Source organism: Homo sapiens, chromosome 16 (assembly GCF_000001405.40).
Source record: "Homo sapiens chromosome 16, GRCh38.p14 Primary Assembly".
Taxonomy (NCBI): Eukaryota; Metazoa; Chordata; class Mammalia; order Primates; family Hominidae; genus Homo; species Homo sapiens.
In genome coordinates, this window is record NC_000016.10 from 78,792,706 (window position 1) to 78,815,526 (window position 22,821).

Sequence of the window (22,821 nt, forward strand, 5' to 3'; positions counted from 1 at the left end):
AGAGGCATCTCACCTGTAGAAATCTTAAGATGAGGGTTAGCCAAAGCAAAGAGTGGTTCAGGGTGGGAAAGCCAAGGAAGGCCAGGATCCTCACCAAGATTGCCAGCAGGGAGCTCTGATTGTCCACAGCTCTGCTCTCTGCTCACCCCGGGGATTTAGCAGTAACAGAATCCACACTAGAAGGACAGAGTGCTGTACAGACAGAAGGAAAGACGCAGACCCAAACCTTGATAACCATGGCAATGCAATAGGAAATCTCTTTATTTCGTTGGTGCTCAAGTGATACCATTAAGTCCCTTAAGATGCGGAATTTCCTTGCCCCCGCTGCCCCCTTTCTTTCTTTCATCTTATCTATATATCTGTATCTATATCTAATCTATTTTTTGAGAAAGGCTCTCACTCTGTTGCTCAGGCTGGAGTGAAGTGATGCAATCTCAGGTCACTGCAACTGCTGTCTCATGGGATCAAGTGATCTTCACACCTCAGCCTCCCAAGTAACTGGGACCACAATGCCCAGCTAATTTTTATATTTTTTTGTAGAGACGGTGTTTTGCCATGTTGCACTGGCTGGTCTGGAACTCCTGGGCTCAGGAGATCTGCCTGCCTCAGCCTCCCAGAGTGCTGGGATTCCAGGCGTGAGTCACCATGCCAGGCCCCTGCCTCTGTTTAAATGCTCAAACTTGGTATGGAACTGCACAGACTATACGGCTGCTCTCCACTCAAGAATACAAATTGAACATTGACTTTCCTCATTTTTTATCCAGTTTTGCTTTCCAGAGACCCAGATATGGCTTCATTTTTTAAATGAAATTTTGCAGGTCATTAGCTCATAATGATTAAATGATTCTGGTTATTAGCATAAAACACAGCTGTAGTACATAAGAGGTAACCTTTATTGTTTAAATATTATTCAATGTGCCTACATAGCACACAGCAAAAAAAACTTTTTTTCAGACTATTCAGCCATTATGGAAATAACTTATAATTACATTCAGAAATGTTGCAAATGCAACTCATCCTTGCAGTGGGATAAACATTGCCTAGAAGGGTTTGAAGAGGAATCCAGGTTAGAAACAATGAAAATTTTTGGCTGGGCAAGGTGGCTCACGTCTGTAATCCCAGCACGTTGGGAGGCCGAGGCAGGAGAATCATTTGAGGGCAGGAGTTCAAGACCTCCTCATCTCTACAAAAAATAAAATATTTGAAAAAAAAAAGTGAAATTTTTGATATAGAAGAGGATGTAGGGCAGGTAGGGCTCAGAAAGACCCATGCCATATAGCAAAGTTCTTAGTAACACAGGCTTTGGGTTACAGCAGGCTAGATTCAAATCCTGCTGTGGTCAGAATGTCTGTGTCACCCCAGCATTCATTTGTTAGGAGATGGGGTCTTTTGGGAGATGATTTGGACATGAAGACAGAGCCTGCATAATTGCATGAGTGCCCTTATAAAAGTGACCCCAGAAGCTGCCTTGCTTCTTCCACCATGTGAGAAAACAGCAAGAAGAATATCCATGAATCTATGAGGAGGCGGGACTCTGGCCAGACATTGAATTTGCTGCTTCCTTGATCTTGGACTTCCCAGCTTCCAGAACCATGAGAAATAAATTTCTTTTTTTCAAAGCTCCCCAGGAGTCTCTCTCGGTCTGTTCTGGCTCAGGAAGCTGCCTTATTTGTAACAAACAAATAAACAAAAAACAAAATAAATAAAAGCTACCCAGCTTAGATTATTTTGTCATAAAAGCCCCAAAAGACTATGACAAATCCTTCCATCTATGTGTCCTTAGGCAAAATACCCAAACTCTCTGAATACCAATTTTCTCATCCAAAAAAATGGGTGAATAATATCTAAGAGGTAATAACCCTAATACCTCTTAGTGTTGCTGTGAGAATTAACTAAAGTACCATCTTCATGTGGTCAGCACAATGGCTGACACATAGCAAGACCTTGGTAAGTTATAGCTGTTGCTGTCATTCCTGCAGCTGTTATCTTTGTCATTACGCTTACTGTTATTATTAGCTCTGCTATCAGAGTGATGCTGTGGCTGGAGAAGATGGAGACCCATGTGTTCAGGCTGTGAGCATAGGCAGATCCTTTCTAATGCAGAAGGTGCAGACACAGGGCACAGAACTGCCAACTGTGGCTGCTGACACCTGTCTGACTTTGACTGGGTTAGTGACAAAGAAATGACTTGCCTTTTGTATGTTAGCCCTGTGCCTGGCATACTGCAAATATCTATGGTTGATAAATTAATGTTATCATCATCACGTAAGCATCTTGGGAAGTCTGTAAGTAATGGGAGTTGGAGGCTTAACACTGATCTTTGAGCTGGCGATTTTTCCAGCCAACTCATTTTGGACGTTGGTGCTTAAGCATATCCTGTTTTCGAGGGTGGTGTTGGTGGTGGAGGAGGTGATGGTGATGATATTGATAATGACAGCAAGAATGTCTTACATTTATAGAGTGTTCAAAAGGTGCCAGATATTGTGCTAAGTGCTTTGCGGGCATTATGTTATTCACACTTCACAGATATTCTCTTTCTACATGTAAGGAAAAAAAGGCATAAATACTTTATATAATTTACTCAGGATTTTAAGTAGAGGGTAGATTTTAAGTCCAGGCAGTCCAACCCCCTGAAAGCTGACTCTTTAACACCATATGCTTCTGTCTTCCTGGCTGTTTTGTGAATGAGTAGGATGGAAAGGAGATCCTTGAATTGGGAAGGCTACCCATGGACTACAACTAGTACTTGTCTTCAACCTCCATCTAGATGGAGTGCTCACAAGATCCTCTACATCAAACCTGGCTTCTTAGTCCACTGCTGAGTCTTCCCAATTCTGAAAAAAAGGATTCAGGGTATAATTTCTCACACAGATTTCTGGGACAGTGCTTTCTTGGAGCACCACGCCTCACTAATGGAACACTCATGTATAATTCTGGCTTTTGAATTTTTATTTTTTTATTAACATACACAGTCAGCATTGGGTGTGGCTCTGGGGATTCATTCTAGTGGGCAAGTCTCATATTTCTCAACCTCAGGTTTTTCATCTGTAAATGGGGACAATACTGACATCTAGCTAATGTCCTTGAGGATGGAATGAGATATTGAGTATAAAGTATCTAGTAGAGTGGCTAGCGTATAGTGAGTACCCAATAAATGCAATAGATGTTGGCTTTTATTACTGTCAAGTGGAAACAAAAGTATAAGGTTTAAGTAAGCGAACGAAATGGAAGATAATTGAGGAAGAAAATCAGATGATGTCTAAGATAAGGCAAAGAACATTTTGTGAATGTTTAAATATCCTAAGACCCACTAAGGAAGTTTGTGGCAATATTTGCTCAAAGACAGTATATATAATAAATACTTTAGACTGGCTAAGAGAATGGCTCTGAATGTCTACCTAGCTATCACATTTAGAAACGCCCCTTGCCTTCCTTCCAGGACTTTCTTCCTTAATCAGGATTGACTTAACTGTTAACTCCTAGAACTGTCGTTGATTGCTTGCTGAAGTAACAATTAGTATAGACATTCAGCAACTGGCCTCCCATACTGTGATTCACTGACCCAGACTTTGACATCTTGGGCTCAGCCATACCCTGGAGCCTCCAAATCCTCTGCTGGATCCTTTAAGTCCAGACATCTGACAGGGGAAGAAAAAGTACAAGTTTCCAAGGAGTTATTATAGGTCAAGCCTGGAAGCAGTGAGGTCACTTCCACCTGCTTCCCATTGGCCAGAATTCAGTCACATGATCACAACCAACTGCAAGGGATTCTGGGAAATGTAGTCTGGTGATGCCTCGAGGAGGCAAGAGAAATGTTTTCAGTGAACACATTGCCTTCTCAGGCTTGCTTTCTATTGTAGATTGCTTACAATATTGCTTTTAAATTGCATGGTCTTGTACAAATGATACGAGTTTTATTTTGCCTTTTGGAAGGAGTTATTGTCCATATTTGTTAGAGATATATCTGTTTATCAGCATCATTGCAAAGTATTAGAAAGGGCCCTGCCTGGGCTAGGAGCCAGAAGCATTCTTCAGTTCCCAACGGCCATCCAGCCACTCATTGCTGTGTGAGCTCTGGCTGGTCAGTAAGAACCTTTGATCCCATGTTTCTTTATCTTCTTCTTTTTTTTTTTTTTTTTAGCCATAGTCTCACTCTGTCACCTAGGCTGGAGTGCAGTGGTGCGATCTCGGCTCACTGCAAATTCTGCCTGCTAAGATCAACTGATTCTCCTGCCTCAGCCTTCCAAGTAGCTGGGATTATAGGCATGAGCCACCATGCCTGGCTAATTTTTGTATTTTTAGTAGTGCCGGGGTTTCACCATGTTGGCCAGTCTGGTCTGGAACACCTGATCTCAAGTGATCCACCCACCTCAGCCTCCTAAAGTGTTGGGGTTGCAGGCGTGAGCCACTGTGCTGGGCCCCAACTTTCTTTATCAATAGAAGTGGGGAAATCGTACCTGCCCTGTCTGCCTCATTGGATGTGGAAGAAATGACATAATCCATGAGAGTGGCTTCTGAATGAAGAGAACCTGCTAAAGGGAAGACATGATCTCAAGTCAGCCACCTCTGACCCAAATAAGAACACATAATTACAAGACTGTATTGTATAATCATGCAGGACACAAGGTATGCAATTTTAAGGGTCAAAGTGGTAAAAAAAAAAAAAAAAAAAAAAGGAAAATCAAATATAAAAAGGCAGCCCCGACAGGTACGAGCTTGTAGTCATTTCCCCAAATGCCTAAAGTAGACCCATTCCCATTGCTCTAATTTGTAGAGATGTTCTCGAGGCAGCCTGGAGTCAAGACAAGAGTGCCAGCCAGGATTGAGGCACTGTTCCAACTCCAGTCTGGCTGCTTTTTCAACCTGGGGCTTTAGTCATGTCAATATTCCTGAGCTTCCATGTGCTTATTTGAAAAATAGGAAGATTCGTCCAGTCTCAAGGAACTATGATAAGTAGCAAACAATATCCCAGAAAAATCTCCAGGCAAAAATCCACTGGAGGCCAGGTGCGTTAGGTCATGCCTGTAATCCCAGCACTTTGGGAGGTCGAGGCAGGAGGATCTCTTGAGGCTAGGAGCTCGAGAACAGTCTGGGCAACATAGCAAGTCTCTGTCTCTACAAAAAATACAAAAATTAGCTGCGCGTGGTGGCGCGTGCCTGTAGTCCTAGCTACTCAAGAGGCTGACATGGGAGGATTGATTGAGCCCAAGAGGTCAAGACGGTAGTGAGTCATGGTCACACCACTGCCCTCAACCCTGGGTGACAGGGTGAGACCCTGTCTCTAAAAACAAAAGCAAAGTCTACTAAAAATTCACTGGAGCTATGAGAAATCTTAGCCCATGGAATCCAGTCTTCTCCTTTTGTTTCTGGGGAAGCTGAGGTTCAGAGAGATGGGGTAGCTTGCTCATGTTATATAGGGAGCAAAGGACAGAGCTTGGACCAGAGCGCAGAGGTCATGATACCAAAGCCACGGCACCTTTGCCACAACGTGAGCAAGAAAGGATAGCCTTGTTATTTTTAATCCAAACTGAAGTTATGCTTTGGGCTTCCAGAATCTGGGTCAAAAAGAGTAGAAGTCAGGCTCAGATTGACGCTTTTCAAGAGAGAGAAAAAAAAAGAAAAAAATCTTGCCTTTCCCTAGCTAGAGGTCAGATGTCAAAAAAGCTAATAACACAACCCAAGGATGTCATCGACAAATGAAAAAACTGGTGCGATGCGGGAACAAAAGCTATTTTATCATTAATATGCCGCTTTTTTGTTATGTACTCATGCCCCAGAAATTATTGTACAGCCTGTACTTGAGTCCTTAGACAGAAAGCATCTTATCATTCACAAGCTTAGCTATGCAATATATTCCTCCCTCCCCCCAAGGTAGTTGTTGTTGGGTTTTTTTTTTTTTTTTAAGAGATTTACAGTGATCTTTCCATATAGGTTTTTCTCGAAACATATATATTTTTAATTTCTCACCATCTCAGGGGTAAATAAATATATTAAAATAAGCTATGGGATGTACAGCAGAGTATAACAATGATAAATGATGTTGTGTGTAATTTTTCTACTATTAACATAAAGTAATATAAACTGAAGGACACTGGTCTATTGAGAGACTTAGAAGCTAATGTTCCATATCAGATGCGGCCAATGTCAGGACTGAATACAGATTAGGCAGTGTCCTTTTCTCCCCAGGGGAATTAAAGTTTGAGACACCACTTGCTGCCAGTGGTTTTATGGCATTTTGTTGGGGCCGGTGGTGCCTTTCTTGGTCTATTAATTCAGGAGCCGTAAACAACAATGTGAGCAAAATGCTTTTCCGGTGGGATGCATTTCATTTATATGTGCTTGTATCGTCTATACCTTGTCAATCCATTTTGTCACAATAAGTGTTTTTAAATTGTGTAGATTACCTCCACTTCATTATGGTTCCTGGCATTTGTGTCTTATGCAAGGCTATTATGTGAAGTTAGGAAATATTTAAAACTCTGCCTTTCTAAAGAAACAGGGACACGGTGCAGAAAAGTTCATCTGGAGTTAGGCTTGTGTCTTGCCGTCTCTTTAACGGAGAGTTCATGGGCAGGGTACAGTCTGTGAGAAGGAATGAAAACCCCAGGGTAGATGCTAACAAAAATCACTTTTAAAAAATGTATGGTGTCCATCTGGGTTAGCAAACACATGCTCACACGTCTGTGCTTGCTGGATTTTTAAGAACTTACCAGCATTTAAGGTTTTCTTATGAAACTGATTTTACTCACCAGGGATAGAGTCTCAAAGTTGGAGGTATTTTATGTTGTTTTAAATAATATCGTCATCACATGTCATTTTAGACCCCAAAAGTCCACTCCGAATCTCTGCGTATGGAATTGAGGAGGGGTGAGGCTGTCAGAAGCCGAGGGACTTGGCCAAGGTCACATGGCTTTGGACGGCCCCCTGAACCTTGGAGCTCATGTTCTGTGGCACTTTGCATACTGACCTTTCTGCTCTTTTATGCTGCCTGCTCTCTAATATTGTCCAAAAACCTTCTCTAAAGAAAGTACACAAATGGAGAGAGGGGGAATTGGGCATGCCATTGGGAGAACAAATTTATTTAGATATCTTTGGCTGTGTTGACAGAAGCTGCCCAATTATACCCAATATACAAATTTTAAATGCATATTAGTCAAAGTTCCAGTTATGTAGCTTTAGAAAAATTTCTATGTGAATGACTACTTTTCCCTGAAATACGTCCTCCATCTCAGGCACTAGTTAGGAACTTCCCCCGCGTCTGGCATTGCAGGTCTGAGGTTCCGATGAACTCTTTTTTCTCTCCTTCCCCATTAAAATGGGCAGAAGGGAAGGAACACTTGGGTTTCATCAAGCACATTGTTATCCTTCGGGTTGGCTCTGAGATGATACGTTTGTCACGGTTCATAAATTTTATCTTTGCACTAAAAACAGGGTTAGAATATCTTCAATGCAATTATAAAAATGTATTAAAACTGAGAAGGAGAAAAAATATGGCGGTAGATGCGATTTTAATGATTGTGTAAATGTTCATTGTTCCATGGCAAAAAAAAAAAGTCGAGCTTTTCAGCCACAGTATTTCAGACAAATGCCAGGGCCTGTTTTTCTGTAAATGTGTACCGTGTGCTTTTAACACAAAGACAAATATGTTGCTTTAAAATTCCGCTTGGAATAGAGTGACCAGCTGTCGTTATATAATATCTGCAGGCTATGATTGTGTAGGTGCCTGTAGTCACTGGCTATGAAAATGGCCCCAAATAAAGTGGTATCCACACTTCTTCTTTCTCCTACGAATTTGGAGGTCTAGGAACGGGGGTAAGCCTATATGGTCATAATTAGCCTGCAAACGTGAATTAATATGCAGAATCTGTCCCCACTGTGATAGAATTTGCCATTCGCTTCCTTTGCTAAATGGCTTGCAGTGGCAGCTGACGGCCAAAGGGGAAGCTGAGAACAGCAAAGATTCAACTGAAAACATTTTAGGGGGTTCCTGACTTCAGGCCTCTTTTCAGAATGAGGGAATTGTCTAAAATCCCAAATGCATTCTTAGCTAAGGTCAGTGTGTCTGGGTCTGTGTCAGGCATGTAGCAGCCACAGCAAACTTCTCTTGAGATAGCATCTCCTCCCCAGCACTCACTTGACAGATTGTGGTCAGTCAACACTCAGTCTGATAGTTTAGAAAGCTTTTGCAAGGCATTCCCCAATATAACCATTAAGCATCAAACTCTCAAATGGAAGTTTCGAAAAACAGAAAAAAAAAGTGAGCATAAATGCAAACTATCACCCCATGTAATAGTTTATTTATTTCATGCTCCACTTTTCTGGGCAGTTTTGTTGTCATTCTCTCTCTACCTCTTTTTTTTTTTTTAAAGACAGAGTCTCACTCTGTTGCCCAGGCTGGAGTGCAGTGGTGCAATCTTGGCTCACTGCAGCCTCCACCTCTGCCTCCCAGGTTCAAGTGATACTCATCTCAAGTGGTTTCTACCTCATTAAAACAAACAAACAAACACCACTCACCATTTTTGTGGTGGGCATGGTGGCTCATGCCTGTAATCCCAGCTCTTTGGGAGGCCAACGCAGGTAGATCCCCTGAGGTTGGGAGTTTGAGACCACCCTGGCCAACATGGTGAAATCCCATCTCTACTAAAAATACAAAAATTAGCTGGGTGTGGTGGCATGTGCTATAATCCCAGCTACTCAGGAGGCTGAGGCAGGAAGGTCACTTGAACCCAGGAGGTAGAGGTTGCAGTAAGCTGATATCATGTCACCGCACTCCAACCTGGGTGACAAGGCTAGACCCTATCTCAAAAATAAAGAAACCCTTGCTATTTTAGCTTCCGATGAGGATATTTATCCTTCTAGCATTTGAATGCAGCCAAAGTCCTTACTGGGCAAATTTTTGAGCTCTCACCCCACATTAACAATTTCTCTCCTTAACTTTGTTTCTGAATGAAGTTATCCACAGAGTTTTAAAGTGAGTGGTGAGTTGTGGATACCTCTTCCGAGCAGGTGCACCCCCATCCTGCCATTGTCCCTCTCCTTAGTGTATATGGATTGATGACATTTCAGTTTCAGACAAAGGGACATTTCATTTTTTTTAGGAGATTAAAGCTGTGTAAGATATACAATTTAAACTGAATGTTGATATTTTATAGATTGTTGAGTCCGATTGTCCTGATCTAAAATTAACTGGTTTTGTGATTTGGTGTAAATCGCTTAACCTCTTTCAATGTTTTTTCAGCAAAATGGGGTAAGAACAGAATCTGCCTTGCAGAGAATTAACCGAGATGATGTGTGGAAAGGGCCTATCCCAGAGGCTGGTGTACCATGGTGGCTTCTCCTGGCTCTGCTGGTTATTATTATTAGCATTATTGTCATTGTGAAAGTGACAAGGAATGTGCCTGTGCGTGAATCTCACTCTTAGATCAGACGTGCTTTTGAAATATCCAGATATATACAACACAAAGAGCGAAGTTTGTTTTATATTTTGTTTGTTTAGGTTTTTTTTTTTTTTTTTTTTTTGGCTGGTGTTTACTGAATGCGTGCAAGGCTTTCTGTCACAGGCTCTGTGTTAAGATATTTAACGGGTGTTTCATTTTCCCAGCAATGCTATAGGACACAGAAAGGAACATAAATTGTTACAGAGAGAAAGAGGGTAGGTCTGTGAATGGAATTGAACAGGTAGGTTGAACAAGATAAATGCCGAGGAAGCAAGTGTATTTAAATAAACAGTTGTTTATGGAAGGCTTTGGAAATCCACTATATTAATCTGGAATTTTATGAAATTTTACCAGAACTTAAATTATTAATAGTTGAGGACAAAGACCAACCATTTTCCCCAAAACTTAGTCACTAGTTTTGTCCTTAACAACTAATTAATAAATATTTGTGAATATAGTGAGTGACTAAAGTAATGCATTAATGGTTGAATGGCTGGCCACCGTGCCTCATGCCTGTAATCCCAGCACTTTGAGAGGCCAAGGCAGGCAGATTACTTGAGGTCAGGAGTTCAAGATCAGCCTGGGCAATATGGTGAAGCCCCGTCTCTACTAAAAATAGAGAAGTTAGCCAGGTGTGGTGGTGGGCGCCTGTAATCCCAGCTACATGGGAGGCTGAAGCAGGAGAATTGCTTGAACCCAGGAGGGACAGGTTGCAGTGAGACAAGATGATGCCATTGCACTCCAGCCTGGGTCACAGAGCAAGACTTCATCTGAAAAAAAAAAAAAAAAAAAAAAAAAAACAACAAACAGAAAAATGAACGAGTGAGTGGCAAGAAAGATGAAATGATTTTCATCACCAGGCCTGCCATGGAATTCATGGTGCCTTGTACTGTGGCCAGTAGGTGCAAGAGTATCTAGTAGGTGCTTTATTTTTAAAAAATGTCTTGGAATCAGTCATAGTTTAATATCAATTATATATAAATTAGTCTTTCAGGATCCAACAGTTCTGATTTATTCCACTCACACAACAAGTCAGTTCTTAACACAAACCACATAGGTTCTTCCTTAAATAAAAAGCTGTGGCTATGAAGAAGTGAGAGTTTTTTTTTTTTTCCTCTCCAAACCACCACGTGCTCTTGTGTGTTATTGTAGTGGCTTCGCAGAGTATTTATTTGGCCAGAAAGTCTATAGTCAAATTGCTCTTCATTCTCAAGTGTAGTATTTATTTCTCCAGCTCATGCAGAATTCTGTTTTATATGGAGGTTTTAAATTTGTGCAGAAAAGTATTACGTGGGTTTCAAAGGTACTCTTTTTTCTTTTTTGAGACAGGGTCTCGCTGTGTTGCCCATGCTGGAGTGCAGTGGTGCGATCACAGCTTTCTGCAGCATTGACCTTGTGGGCTCAAGCAGTCGTCCTGCCTCAGCCTCCCAAGTAGCTTAGAACCACAGGCATATACCACCATACCTGGACATGTTTTTAACTTTAATTTTTATTTTTGTAGAGATGTGGTCTCCCTATGTTGCCCAGGTTGCTCTCAAACTCCTAGGCTCAAGCAGTCTTCCCACCCTGGCCTCCCAAAGTGCAGGCATTTTAGGCATGACCCATCGTGTCCAGCCTAAATGGCATTCTTGGAAGTAAAACCACAGGGGATCTGTTGGAAGTGGCATGATGGAGGAATTTTAAAAGAATTGAACAAATAAAATAGTCAGAGCTCAAAAATTGAGTACTGCTTCGTTTCTCCCAAATAACCATCACCAGACAAACAGGTGTGTGTGTGGGTGGGGGAGGTGGCCTGGTGGTACTTCATGATCTTGGAAGAAGGAAGGCGCCCCTCCTTCTTAGCTGATTGATGATGAGATAGAAAGATAGAAACAGCCCCATCACTATGAGATGGAAACACTTCTTTCCTTCATCTGACTTCCCTCTCCTTCATTCCCAACCAAGTTTGACCCCGCCGCAGTGGAGATTGTGGCAGATGGGTCAGATAGCATGTGTCCTGTCGCTGTCACAACTTTTTAATAAGGGCTGGGGGTCCTCTTGAAGAGCCCAGGAACTGCAGTCCCTCCTCTATGCCTTCCCCTGAACACAGTGCGCCCTCACTAATAAATTCTGAGGGCTGACACTGCCTGAGCCGGCTGGTCTTTGCCCTCAATTTCATTGAGATGGGCCATTGAAAACTCATTACAAGCTGTTTAGACTCTGACTTTGACTTTTGCTCGGCAGCGAACAAAATTAACAGCTCTTGGAGGTAGGAAAAAAGGCGCTCAGCCAAATTAAAAAAAAAAAAAAGAAAGAAAGAATTGAAATGATGAGAAAAGACTTTTAATATTAACTCCATTAGTCATGCAAACAAGCGCACATGCGAAGCGCATATGTTCTGCGTGTGGCTCTCATTTGGAGCCTGATGAGAACTGTGGTTTCTCCCACTGGAGGGAAATTCATACCCAGGTCTTACACGTAGCTCAAAATGTTTTACATGTCAAGCAATGAGCCTTTGAGTGTAGCAGAATTGCTTCATAAATTTAACTATCACTTTCAAATTTCTGTTTTTTTTCTAATTTAGTGCTTGATAGTTTTTTATGTGATAATTTTAAAATGCTGTTTGTAGCAAAAGTTACCTTGATAGTTCAGGTGTGCAGAGAAAATTCACAGCCATCAATAGAAAAGAAAAAAAAATCCTGTTTATACCTTAGGCATTCTGTGATCCTTAGGATGTAGCCATGACAGTATTACGGGTTTTAAAAGCCACCCAAGTAATCTAAATTTCCTCCAAACTAACAATTCCTGAAAGATTGAAATATTGCTACCAATGTCTATGGATGGTTTCCATTGATATTTGGGAAGTTTCCATTTGTATTTGGGAAGCTTTGCATGAGCAAAATGCCCCTTTCTCCTGATATTTGCAACCCATCTTAAAAATAAAAGTACTTTTCTGCATGTGGTCTTGTACATGAAATTAAGAATATCACTACCAAAATATCAAAATTTAAGGACTAGATTGTGAAATGTTTAAGGAGGCAAAGAATATTTAACCAAGAAAGGAAAAGTGTATTTGAGAGAGACCTGATGAGTTCACCACTGCCTCTGGAGAATCAAATCCAAAACAGCATATATATGTATATTTTTTAGAGACGGAGTCTCACCCTGTCGCCCAGGCTCGAGTGCAGTGGCGCCATCTCAGGATCTCGGCTCACTGCAAGCTCCGCCTCCCGGGTTCATGCCATTCTCCTGTCTCAGCCTCCGGAGTAGCTGGGACTACAGGCACCCGCCACCTCGCCTGGCTAATTTTTTTTTTTGTATTGTTTGTATTTTTCATATTTTTCGTAGAGTCAGGGTTTCACAGTGTTATGCAGGATGGTCTCGATTTCCTGACATCGTGATCCGCCCGCCTCAGCCTCCCAAAGTGCTGGGATTACAGGCGTGAGCTGACGCTCCCGGCCTACAGCATAGATTTGAGGCATCTTGAAGGTAGATGCAGAAGAGTGGGATCTACTTTGGATTTTTAGATTAATCACTGTTAAGACTTAAACAGCTTCTTATTTGGGTGAAACATGGGAGTGTCAAAAATAAGTCACTGTCACTCTTTGCCAACTTCCTTTAACTCTTTATACGGCTATATCTCCATAGATATCCAGTTTTTGTTTTGTTTTTGTTTCTGTTTTCAGTTCCTCTCCAAACTGTCAAGGACAGTGCCAAGATCTGCGAATATAGAAAGATTAAGAGTTTTTTTCTGCCTTGTTGGGTCTTCTTTCTAGCATGCCAGGAACATTTTTCTCATCTTTTGAACATTAGGGAATAACACCCAATGCCACCCTATAATCTCGAGACAGAAGTGGAGGATCCTCTTAAGACAAGAAATCTTTCAAAGCCAAATAATGAATTAATCCAAAGCCACTTGAGGCTCTAGATAGATCTTAGCAGTCAAAGCAATAAATATATAATCCCATAAATCTAAACTTTGTGGTATATTCATTAGGCTGTCTGTTTTCTTTTCTTTCAAATGTTTCACTTAATTCCCTGATATAATAAGGCTTCCAAATTCTTGGTGTTTTTCTACAACCAAGACCTTGAACTTTTTCCTCTCAGGATTTCTTTCATGAGAACCCATTTTCTGGCCATTTGGATATCATTGATGAGGGAATTGAAGCATTTCCCTATTCTTTAGAGTTTCATTAAAGTTTGACTATATTCCAGTAACAATTGTTGCATAACAAACCACCCCCAAATTTAGTGGCTTAAAACAACAACATTTATTTTGTTCAGGAATCTGTAGTTTCAGCAGGGCTCTGAGGAACAGCTTGTCTCTGCTCCAGCATCAGCTGAAGCAGCTTGAAAGCCAGGGTCTGAGATCATCTGAAGGTTGTTCACTCATGAGTCTGAGGATTGATGCTGACTGGTGGGTGGGACCCTTGCTGGAGGGTCTATTGGCTGGAACACCTACACATTGTCTCCATGTACCCTGAGCTTCCTCACAATATGGCGGCTGGGTTCCAAGGGTGAGCGTCCCAAGAGAAAGAACCAAGCAGATGCTGCATTGCCTTTTATGGCCTTCCATAGAAGTTACATAGCCCTAGGTTTTCCTGCATTCTATTTTTTAGGCTGTCAGACCCACCCCAACCAGGTTTGCAGTGAGAGGAAATAGACCCCACCTCTTCTGGAAGAGAATGTGGGACTGGACATACTGCCATGGCCACTTTTGAAAGATGCAGTCTGCCACATAAGCAAACAGTTCGTGTCCTGCAGTGGGATATTGGGAAAAGAATGGTATTTGGCAAGGGGTCAGGAAACCTGCTTTTGAATCCTACCTCTGCCTCTTACTAGCCACATGACTGGGTCTTAGCATGCTCATCTATGAAATGGGGGACACTAATGCTGACCCCACATTTGTGCTGAGGATTATGCAAATAAAATCTGTAATTTGTGCAAGCATCCACCAAGTGCCTGGTGCAGACTGGATGCTCAATAAGTCTTTGGTGGGTCCATGTATTGAATTGGAATCTGCACATTATGGCCATTATTTAGGTTTCTTGTGTCCTAATCTATGTCACTGAGTACATCCTTGCTGTTTTTCATGAATTTTCCACTGAGTCGCAACATGCCACTGGCCAGTGAAGGTCAGGCAGGAAACAGATTAACAACATCTCATACCACAATGTCAAAATACTTAAAAGTGTTTACAGATGCCAGTGACACCCAGTGAATCTAAAACAAGAGGACCAGAGCAGAAGTAAAACTATTCTTGTTCTTCTAAGCTTGAACACAGGCCTTGATGTTTTATGATTGTTTTAAGGTCCATTAATCGCTGAATCATGAGGCCATGTAAAAAAATGACAGCTATAACATCAAGGGCCCGGGTTTATTTTAAATGTTTTTGCTTCTACATGGATTCTAATTAACGACAGTGGCTAAAACCTGATTCAAATGTGGCAAATGTGGAGTGCCATGGGATGAAGCCAGTCAATTTCATCTAGGAGCATTTTATGGCTTATGGAAAGAAATATTCTCTTAGATTGAAGGGCGCCAGCCTGTAATGGGCATCAGCTGATTCTCAGAAAGAAGAAACAACGTACTGTTACATAATTGGGGCTTCTCCAAAGTGGCCTGACCAAACTGTAGAGCTGCTTGTTTGTCTGATACGGTAGCCATTAGCCACATGTGGCTATTTAAACTGAAATGAATTAAAGTTGTATAACATTTGTAAAAATCACTTCTTCGGTTTCATTAACTAGCCTCATTTCAAGTGCTCAGTAGCTACATGTACCTAACACATTGGACAGCACGGTTACAGAACGTTTTCATTTCATCGGACAGTTTAACTGCTTTGGAGACTGGTTCTCCTTTTTCTTTTTCCATGTTCACTCCAGAATTAAAGTCAACCAGTTCAAATGTCCCATCTTTCCCCACAGACATTTGTGCTCAAAGGCATCCCCTTCCCCATTTGGAGACTCTCCTAGGGCCTAGGCCCAAGCAACCAGGACTCCCTGTAGTCAACCCCACTCCTCAATTTTTGGCACCCATGTTATTCCACCTCAAGATCATGTCCTCTTTTAACCCCTCTGAATATGCTCCTCCTGTGATACCCATAGGGACCCTGAACCTCTAGTCCTCAAGAGCAGTCATTCACCCCTTTGGACTATGGATCCGTTTGCAACCCAGGAACAACTACTGTATGGCCACTTCAAACCTGTATATGCTGCAAGTATTTTATTCTAGGTAGGGTAAATAATAGGTCTTAGATATAGGTGCAAATAATTTTCAAATATGGGTAAATGCTATTGGGATGTGTAAAGTAGAAATCCATTTTAAAGTGTTATTGAATCCATACTAACCTGATCATTACATATTTACTAATTGATGATTACTAAAAATGTGGACCTTTGTGAATTTCCGATGTCATAGAAGGGTGTTCTTAACTGGAAAAGTCAGTAGCCAACATTCTGGGAAGTAGAGGCCTCTTCCTCACTGCTTCATTGGTTTAAAATAAACTCCAACAGAAAAACATGCCATCATCTTTAATTTCCTGCATCAGCTAAGCATTTATTTCATGTAGTCCTCACACTAGATTGAGTGGTTCCATATTAATATCCTACGTCAAAGATGAGTAAATTGAGATGCGTAGGTTCTAATTTGCCCAGTGTCGTGGTGTGTGATCTTGACCACTAGCCTAAACTGCTATTTTATGTCCACCCATCAACCTCTACGGCTGCCCCTCATTTGAACACACAAAATATAGTTGTGTGGCTTGGTGGAGCCATCTAAATTCCGTTAGGCCATTTGCCAATGCTGCTATTAGGGGCGAAATGTCATGCGCTTGATCTAAATGTACTTAGGAGAATTCTCAGGACCTGATGAATTATTATTCGGAATTTTATGGCCTCACAGGTTGCAGGCTTCATACCAACTGCAGCTAATGAGCTATGGGCCCCGAGAAACACTGAGGACACACGGCGTTCTGCACACAGAGTGGGCTGTTTCTGTCTGTTCTCCCCCTGCACCCTTCTCAGATGCAATCTCAAGTCATAGGAGAACTTGTGCAAATGTTTCTCCTGGATGGTTTCCTTTAGAGCATGTGTCCTATAACTTGAAATGGTTGTCTGAGCAGAATGTTTTTAGAAGTTAGATTTTTTTAGGGGGGAAACAGGAACCAAAGCAAAGCCAATAGAGATCTTGAAAAAAAAAAAAAAAAAGAAAAAACCACCGTGGTATTCTAGGAAGAAAAAAGCATTTTTCGAATGAAAACTTTTTATTATATTTGATATATTCTGCTTCCCTTCCCTAGTATGTATTAATGAGATGAAATCACTTCTTAATTTTCAGGTTAATATTAAAGTTGAAGCCCATCCCTCTACCCTGAGGACTCTGCCAGCCTCTGGCAGTATTCCTTTCCAACTTCCACTTGCCCCAAATAGGTAGAAGTTAGCCTTTATTTTTGGTGTCATGTCTTCTTTCCCTCCTCCTATCAGTTTTTCAGAAACTCCAGAAATTTAACCTAGTACACAGGGGCCCCCCACCCCTGTTTCCAGATGCCTTCTAGAAAGAGGACTGGGAGTGTGAATGAGGCCATGTGGGCTTTGTTTGACCCTGTGGTTGTCATGACAATTTCTCAAAGCTTAGCTGGGACAGGAAGAAGGAAGGGGAGGATAGCGGTGTGTTCAGTGTGTGAGCTCCTAAAAGCTCTTGGGTCACTGTTCCCAGGGGATGATGACCCTCTATGGCAGATCAGTTGCATGTGCATATGAGCTTTCCCTCCTCCCGTGGGTTAGCATGTTCCACACTCACCTTCTCAAAGCAAAGTCTCCCTTAGGGGACCCTTGGTATCCTGTTCATCTGGCAAATCTCAGCACCAATAGAAACACCAAGAACATGGATTCATCAAAGGAAAAATGTTGAAGTTTCCATTTTTATGCTTCCTGGTAATCCTTCAGCCCTTGATGGAAATTTCCAGACCTAAACCAGTGAATTAAGAGTATGGGGAAGAGGAGCCCTCATACAGTTCTGTTAAATGGTCCTTTAATATTCTTCTTCAGAGTGACGGGTACCCCTTGCCTATACATTTTCAAAACTACACTGAAAATTTCAAAACATTTCTATCAGAACACAGTCTTATTCTCAGCTGATCTGCAATTTCCACCTGGATCTGTTAAATGGCAGCTTAGCTATGAAATATCATGTTCTGCCCAATCACCTACCCTGCCTCATATGATCAGCCGGTATATTTATGTGGACACATGCAGCCACACTTGTTTTTAACATTTGAGAATGACAGCGTATTGGCAGTTCATATAAGCTATCAAATATTACATGTCAACTCAGAAAACATCCCTAGGAAGTATTATGGGAACCCCCTGTATCACTTGAGATTCTTGGATCCATATTTGCTGTTAACAAAATAAATTAATAGTCAACAACTGATTAAAGCATTTCCCTGCTACCATGATTGCCTTGACAAATTCTGCAGTGCTGGAGTATTTTACCTCCCATTATTTCTTCCGCTGAACAGGACGTTTGGTTCTAATTGTTAAGCCTGCCTAATGCTGATTGAAGCGGGCCATAGTATCAAGGGTGGAAGAAGGTGGGAATATAAACTAGATTTGCTCCCTTCTGTAGGAATAACTCTATGAAGACTTTCTTTTTGGAGACAAATCATCTTATGCAGGGGGGAAAAAAAACTCCCTAAAAAAGACAAATGACAGCGCAAGATCCAAAAAGACAAGTGCTCAGTCATTTTGTCATAATGCCAGAAGAGACAGTAATGCTGTGTGGACTATGCATTCAGACATTTAGAAAATACTGCAGGCAGAGCTGGGGATTCCGTGGCCAGAAGCATATTTGGTGAACCGAGGACGCATCAAAGAGCTTCTCTGGTGTTTAGTAACTTGCACTGTATTTCAGAGGTTTATAAAGGGAAGGGACAGGAAAGCAGTGTGCCAGTAAGACAACTCCTCTTCTCGTCTGGATTTTAGAGGAATGCAGTGAACAAATGATGAAAAAGTCTGAAGGGACTTTGGTAATTCAGTATCCGAAAAACAATCAGTGTTTTGTGACATTCTTAGTTGTGATCTACCTTATGTTGTATACACATGGTCACTCACATACATAGGTGTATTATTCTGCAATTGCTGAGTAATTGATGATCCTTCATTCTCTCTGTGATTCATAGGCTCTCTGGGTTGGATAAATCACTTCGGGGAATTATATCTACTAGTATATTTATGTCACTAGAATTCCTTTGAGAAGCTATCACTGTGTACATTTACTGTATCTATTAACTTTCTTCATCTCCCTCTTCCTCCCTTTCTTCCTTTCCTTTCCCTTTCCTTTCTCCTCTCCTGTCCTTTCTCTCTCCCTCCCTCTTTCTTTTCTTTCTTTTTCCTTTTTCTCTCTCTCTTTCCCCCTTTTTGTATTTCTAGGAGAAACGGGGTTTCACCATGTTGGCCAGGCTGGTCTCAAGCTCCTGACCTCAGGTGATCCACCTGCCTCAGTCTCCCAAAGTGCTGGGATTACAGGCATGAGCCATCATGCCCAGCCCCCTTGTCCTCTTCTTATAAGGCTACTAATCCCCTCATGAGGGGACCCATCCTCAAGACTTCATCTAAACCTAACAACCTCTCCAGGGTCCCACACCCAGATACCATCCCACTGATGGTCAGGGCTTTGACATATGAATGAGGGGTAGAGGGACACAAACATTCAGTCCCTAACACTTGGTCAAGTTACTTAAGCTTGGTAAGCCTCTCTCTTCTTACTGAGTCATGAGCATAATAAGATATACCTGTTAGGGTTCTTTTGAGGAATAAATGGAATTTTTAAAGAATTGTGCCAGACATGTAATAATTACTTGATAAACTATAGCTATTATAACACCATCAAAGCTGTGGTTCTTACCCTCATCATTGTTTACCCTCTCACACAGTAAGATCTTTCTGAAAAGGATCAAGTCTCATTCTCTTTTGAACCCCAAAGTCCCCAGCCACCACAGAGACCAAATACAGTAGGTACCAATGCATGGCAATGCATAGGAACTAGGTGTCCTAACTTGGCACTGTATCTGCCAATTTTTTAAAAGACAAGATGACATCCCAAAGATTGGGGCATATTTAGGATAATGCCCCATTCTGTGAGGGTGGACATTATAGAGGACATCAGCAGCCAGCCACAGGCCATCTCTTGGTGCCATTGGGTTTTGAGACCCTCAGGGTGACACCGATTTAACATGACAGGTCTTATGTTCTTGGGTAATGTCAAACAACTTCTTGAAAATATTTGTTAAAAAAAACCCAAAAACAGAAACATATCTGACTGGGCATGGTGGCTCCTGCCTGTAATCCTGACACTTTGGGAGGCCGAGGTGGACGGATCACCTGAGGTCAGGAGTTCGAGACCAGCCTGGCCAACATGGCGAAACTCCTTCTCTACTAAAAATAAAAAAAAAAAATTGCCAGGCCTAGGCGCAGGCACCTGTAATCCCAGCTGCTCGGGAGGCTGACGCGCGAGAATCACTTGAACCCAGGAGGCGAAGGTTGCAGTGAGCCAAGATAGTGCCACTGCACTGCAGCCTGGGTGACAGAATGAGACTCCATCCTCCCACCCCCTAAAAAAAAAATCTATCCAAAGGCCTTGACTAATGCAGAATCAGCACTAATTTACAAGCCCCATAAACTAAAGACCCCATGTTTGTGTTATAAGTTTTCAAACTTTTTAAATATTTTCCCCTGTCTTATTTTCTATCATTTCACATCTTCTTAAACACATATATTTTTAAAAGAGGTTTTGACTCACTGGTGAATTTGTCTTAAAATGGAAAAATAAAATCAAATATAAGAATTTTGTTATGAATCTTTGGGGAAACACAATTAGGGAATCTACCTTAATAGGTAAACCCATGTAATTTCTTATTTCCGTCTAGTTATAGGAAAATACTGAGATACTTGTGAGATGTTTTCTTTTTTTTTTTTTCCAACTTGTATACACGTTGTTCTATAAGTGGTTGATTGTTTTTTAGGAAAAAAAAATTCAGCATCTCAAATGTACCTTTAATATTGCTTCTGATTTTTGTTGTTTTGCTATCATAGCGTTACCTACCTCACAGAGATGTTTTAGGTCATAAGTATTTTTCATTTAATTTTTTTTCCCCTTAATTTCCTTTTTTTCCCTCCTAAGCTATAAATATACAGCCTTAAAAAAAACACTCAGAAATTTAAGTCCAAGAAGCCTGCTTTTCTTGATACCTTTCAAGTGCTAGATTAATAACATTTTTGTCAGGTGGTTACCAGAATGGAGGATACTTGAGCTGAGTTTTGCTAGAGTCCAAGATCATCTATTCTAATTTCTGGGGACACATATTTTGTCCTGGTTAGAGAGATATATAATGATGCCTATCTGATTCTGTGGTGGTCTGGCTTTGATGTATGTATATGTGGGCAGGAATGTGTGTGCGTGTGTGTGTGCATGTGTGAGCTCCTGTGTGTGTGTTCATCACGTATCCATTGTGTCTCCAAGGTCTTATCAACAGCAACAAAAGGCCTCCTTTGAGATCAATCACATTCATTCGATGTTTGTTTTCTACTACCTGATACTTACTGCTTTCTCTTTGTCGCCGTTAATTTTGTTTGTCATATGTCAGACCAGGATGAGTGGGGCACATACAGATTCAGCTCATTTTATTTTTTTTCTCCCTTCCTTCGTCACCACCTTTGCTAATTTCAGGCGGTCAGCACATTTAGCAAGCATGTAGCTGCTTGCCTGAGCAAGCCATTAATCTATATTAGAAAATGTAGAGGCCCCAGTGTTAACCTTCCTGAAGCTTGTCTCCCCACCCCCAATTCTATAGGTTCTATTATATCTCCGCTGGTTTAAGGCAACTGCTGTTTCTTTTAGGAGTTTTCTTTTCTTTCCTTGCTGAATATCTGCACTTACCAATACTGCCCAGGCACATGGGCTGTGGCTCAAGTTTTCAGTGCAGGACAGTGTGTCATTGCAGGAGAAGACAGAACCCGGCCAGATCCTCCCGCTGCCGGCAAGCGGAGTCAGTTACTGGGAAGCCATAATAATTCTGTCTTCTAGAGAATTTTGGCAAAAATGTGCCTCCATCTTACATCAACAATTTTTCATCTTTCTGGAATTTTTATTTCCCCTTCCCCTCTTGTTCCTTTTTATCCTCCTGGTGAAGTATCTCCTTTTCCCTAAAAAACTGGAAAAAATGCACTTTTCTATATTAATTCAAATCATATTCAAAAAATACTATATGTTAAAAAATACGATGTTTCTGTAATCCTTACATCCCCTAATAAAACCACTGTGTGATGAAACTACCAAGAAGCCTCTCTTGAAAAAAAAAAAATTAAGTGAACCTCTACTTTAGAATGTTGGCTTTTCATATATGTACAAAACAAAAGAGGTTGCAGTGATGGCGTGGATAAAGGCACCTGTGTACTTTTCCAACCTATCCAATTTCAAGATGTATCCTTTGTGGATTACATTGGTTCTTTTCTATGGAATCATGCACCTTAGACCTGGGAGAAACCAGCGTGACATCCAGGGTCAAGGTTTTCCAATCAGGTATTTTGGGGGAAAAAGTTCTGCCTTCATGTAACAACTAATGTGACATGGCAGTGTATAAGACATTACAGCCAAGGCCTTCTGGTTGAAGTTGGGGAACTGTGGGCGTTGTCCCCACTAGTCCTGTCATCTGCCCTTGCAAAACCACCCTTGGGCTCTCTCGCGTGCGGTCTGTGCACCAGCTACCTTTGTGCTCCCCACATTCTTCCACCTGGCCTGGAAGCTGACCATAGTTGGCTCTCTTGCCCTTTCTTCTTCTGGTTGGATTTAGCAATTTAATTTTCAGGCTTGCTCCCTGCAGGGTGTCACTTCACCACCTTCCTCTGTAGAAGGTTTCGTCCAGGCCGGGCACAGTGGCTCACGCCTGTAATCCCAACACTTCGGGAGGCCGAGGTGGGCAGATTGTCTGAGGTCAGGAGTTTGAAACCAGCCTGGCCAACATAGTGAAAACCCATCTCTACTAAAAATACAAAAATTAACCAGGCATGGTGGCACACACCTGTAATCCCAGCTACTTGGGAGGTTGAGACAGGAGATTTCCTTAAGCCTCGGAGATGGAGGTTGCAGTGAGCCAAGATTGTGCCACTGCACTCCAGCCTGGCTGAGAGAATGAAACTCTGTCTCGAGAAAAAAAAAAAAAAAGAAGGTTTCATACATTTTAGCTGACAAGGGCAGGAGCTGTTCCTGCTGTTACTAACTGGAGTACATTGCATGAAACCTTGCTGTTTCCTTAAACCCTGCACCGACCTTTACAAACAGTGCCTTTACTAAACACTTCTTACGTTACCCGTTTTGAGTGTACCATCTGCCTCTTGCCAGGACCCTG

The 22,821-nt window shown here is 41.7% G+C and overlaps 1 protein-coding gene and 1 long non-coding RNA gene across 3 annotated transcripts in view; one reads left to right on the plus strand and one right to left on the minus strand.

Annotated features, from left to right (window-relative positions):
* Positions 1 to 22,821, plus strand: part of WWOX (WW domain containing oxidoreductase) — a 1,113,014-nt gene that overhangs the window by 693,052 nt on the left and 397,141 nt on the right. The window lies entirely within an intron of this gene.
* On the minus strand, positions 876 to 3,717 carry LOC112268165 (uncharacterized). Its single transcript, XR_002957855.2, has 2 exons — positions 3,471 to 3,717; positions 876 to 1,664 (listed from the first exon to the last, which is right to left on the minus strand). It is a non-coding gene; the product is annotated as an uncharacterized LOC112268165 (long non-coding RNA).